The 3,545-nt window shown below is 52.2% G+C and overlaps 1 long non-coding RNA gene across 2 annotated transcripts; it reads left to right on the forward strand.

Moving 5' to 3' along the window:
* The first annotated feature begins 1,467 nt into the window (after positions 1 to 1,467).
* On the forward strand, positions 1,468 to 3,257 carry LOC112268173 (uncharacterized). Of its 2 annotated transcripts, NR_157262.1 has the most exons (2): positions 1,468 to 1,752; positions 1,933 to 3,257. It is a non-coding gene; the product is annotated as an uncharacterized LOC112268173 (long non-coding RNA). The 2 variants fall into 2 exon arrangements; NR_157261.1 differs by having other exon boundaries at positions 1,468 to 3,257.
* Positions 3,258 to 3,545: the final 288 nt, after the last annotated feature.

Consider the following 3,545-nt stretch of genomic DNA (forward strand, 5'->3'; position numbering starts at 1 on the left):
ATCTCCTGTAGATTCAGGAGTTTCACCAAAAGGCACAATCTTTTCCGAATCTGGATCCACAGAAAGAGCAAGACTGCAATGCTGAAACAACCCATTAGTCAGGAAGAATTTCCCAGAGCTCACCAGGAAATCAGCTTAGCAGGAGGCAGACCTCTTTCCCACAGTAAGCATTTGGACACACATTTACGGGCATGTCTACCCGTCAAGCTTATATTATGATGAATGAGTTAGAGGTCAAGTTATGGGAGAAAAAATGGAAATAGATCTCTTTCTTTGAACACTGCTAAAAGAAACACACAGGTAATAGACGTGTCTGGTGGATCGGGGCTTGTCCCCAAAAAGCCGGAAAGGCTGAGCGAGTGATTGAAGGCAGGGTGAGACTGGACACCCATGGAGAGGTCACAGGATCCAGGCCATGCCCACCGAGGATGACATAGCCCTTCTGAAGGCCCAAGGGAGATGGCTCAGGATGCCAAAGACTCAAGCAGCCAATCTGATCTGTGCACAAACTGCTGAATCTCAGCGTCATTTGCAAGGAAGGCCTGGCCAGCTGCAGGAATCAAAGACACTAGAGGCAGGCAGCCAGCAGGGGGGTCAGGAGGGCTGTCTACTCCGGATACAGGAGTCCACTGGCAGGCAGGCTACAGGCTTCTCAGGTGCTGGCCCTAGAGCTATCAGTCTCTCGGTCGTTCAGGGCAAGGGGTATGATCTCTGTAGACATCCATGTAACAGAGGCTCAACTCCTTCATCCTCAGAAGCAAAGGCTAGTGGAGACCAAATAGGGCTTGAAAGGTAAATCCCCTAAAAAGGCAGAATGTCCTGGGCTTTGGCCTCTCCCCTTCAAGCACAACCGGATCATCACCTCTTTTCAGACTTCTCACTATGCTGAGAACCGGAACAAGACTCCTAACTCCCCCTCCTCACCTCTGCACTCCTGCACTCTTACCGGGCAGACCAGAAACCAGGAGACCTGAACTCTGGCCAAGCTCGGGGAGAAGAGAATCCAAAGAGGGCGGGAGCGGTGAGGGCTGAGCTCCTACGGGTGCCCCGGCCCAAGGCTTCAGGTCCAGACTGCGGTCCAAGTGGCACTCGGTGCAGGTTCTGCGATGTCGCTGGAAGGCCTGGAACAGCCTCTGCAGCTAGCTGCCGCTTCTTCCTTTTCTTAAGCGCCAAAAACGTGAACACTTCCCCCAAGGTTTTCAGATACGCCCAGGCGCCCCCAGCTGGAGGTGGGGATAATGGCATTCTACAACATGGTTTATCACCTCGCCCGCCAGGGCAGCAACCAGCCCCCGCCTCGCCAACCCAGCTGCCCCAGGCTGGAGGCGATCCTGTCGAGCCTCCTCCCTGCAGCTCCACTCCTCCTCCTTATCTTCTTCCTCAACCACTGGCATAGTTTTGGTCATCCTCCTTGTCGTCACAATGGGGCGCCTGACACCATGGAGACCCGGGAACCCCACTGATCTTGGGTCCTGCAGGGGTCAGGCGACCGTGCAGGAAGACCAGAAGGAAAGTAATCTGCCGCATCCAGAATGAACAGAACAAAACCCCCGCACTCCAGGAAGAAGTCAGGAGCCCAGTGGGGGCTGCAGGTCCAGCCCACAACAACCTAGACATGTGGGGTGCTCCATGGCTCACGCTTATGTCCTGCAGGCTGAAGCCCGCGCCAGGGTCCGCAGTCTTTGTTCCGGACGCAGAACCAGTGCTTCAGCTGGTTACCGAGGCGTCCCCGAAGGGGAAAGGGTGGACACGGTGAGAATCTACAGCACAGCAGATCACTTCGTCCTGGCAGCGACCAGCCCTGCCCGAGCGGCACCAGCAGCCTCCATGTTAGAGGCAGTACCATCAGACTTCCCCCCTACAGCATCTCTCCTGCTTTTTTTTTCCCTCACGGCTCTAATCTCCTGCTTTTGTTCATCCTCCTTGTCACAGTGGGGCACCTGGCACTATAGAGACTCAGAAAATCCGCAGATGTGGGGGGTCCTGCAGCATCCAGGCAGACATGCCGGCAGTCAGAGAGGAAAGTCCTCTGAAGCCTCTAGAAGGAATGGAACAGGACCCAGCACTGCAGGAAGAAGTGGGGCACCCAGTGGCGGATGCAGGCCCCACACACCGCCGCGGTAAACGTATAAGGCTTTCCCTGGCCCTTGCCTGTTTCCTAGAAGCTGAAGCCGCGCGGAGGCCCAGGTTCGCCCTTCCACACACGGAATAAGCTGTTGGACTGGCTGCCTCACCTAGGACCCGAGTTGCGCCAGAGAAAATCGCGGATGCTGCTTTCCCGCGGGCTGCAGTGTCTGTCACTTTAGCGACCGCAATAACACTTCTCCCACAGGGACTCCGCGGTGCCCAGCTCTCCAGCCTGGGGATTCTCATCACACAGTGATTCCAAAAGAAATGATCTACAATGGCATGACCAAGCGCCACAAACAGACAAACATCTGAGGGATGTCCATTGGTCACTTTGATTTTTCAAAGGTGACAATTGTCCCTCCTTGAAATCTTAAGAGAGCATGAACAGGCTATTCTAATGGATGTGCAATTTACACTAAAACTGATTGAAAGGTGAATTCTGATTCCAAGGTACTTTGTATTCTCAAATTGTGTCTGCTTCCCCTGACCCCCTCAAAATGGGAGTGATGACTACTTGTCTTCTTAGCACTGTGGGGACACAAAGCCTTAGATGGAAGTGTGTCAAAAACAACATTCCATAAAAGGCCATCACTTCCAATTTTCAAGAAAGGTTGGAAACCAACCATGATGTATGAAGCACTGTCAGCCAAATTGAGCAATTAGTAATACAAAATGAATGGTATAAACTATTCTACATGTGTGTGGCCATGATGGCAATTTACACATCGAAAAAACATGGCCAAATTCAGGAAGAGGAATCTGTAAACTCACGGCTGTTGGGAAGCTTAATGTCTGTGTACCGGAACCTATCAAAGTTACTTCTCCATGCCAGTCTGTCCAAACAAACCTTGAGTTGTTTATTTCTATGGAATTCCTGTAGAATCCTAATGAGCATGACCTTCTGGACCCATCTTCACAGCTCTGGTGCCAGTGGATTTGCACTTGCTCGTGTTTCTCCCTATTTTGTTAAGGGTGGAAATATTTAGTGACATGGTGGGTTGGAAAGGTACTGAAATAATGGCTGGGGCCTCCTGGGTGGGTGAGTCAGGGCTCCGGCAGCCTAAGACTTTTTACAATAAGTAAGTTATAGGTAAAGTTAGAAAAAATAAAAAGAAAATGGAAATCATTCTTTCTTTGCCCACCATAAAGAGAAACACACAGGGTCTAGACATGCCTGTTGGAGCCAGCTTGTCTTGGGAAAGTGGGAAGCACTGAGCAGGAGCACTGGGGATGGAGGGCAGTTGAGATGGGGCTCCCAGGGAGATGCAGCCACGGTCAGGGCCTGGCCCACTCAGGCTGGCAAAGACCTTCTGAAGGCCAGAAAAGACGGCCCAGAACACTGAAGGCTCAAGCGGCTCATCTGAGCCAAAGATCTGTCCAGTTGGCCCTGAATCTCAGCAGCCTTGCTGACGGTG

Source organism: Homo sapiens, chromosome 16 (assembly GCF_000001405.40).
Source record: "Homo sapiens chromosome 16, GRCh38.p14 Primary Assembly".
Lineage (NCBI taxonomy): Eukaryota > Metazoa > Chordata > Mammalia > Primates > Hominidae > Homo > Homo sapiens.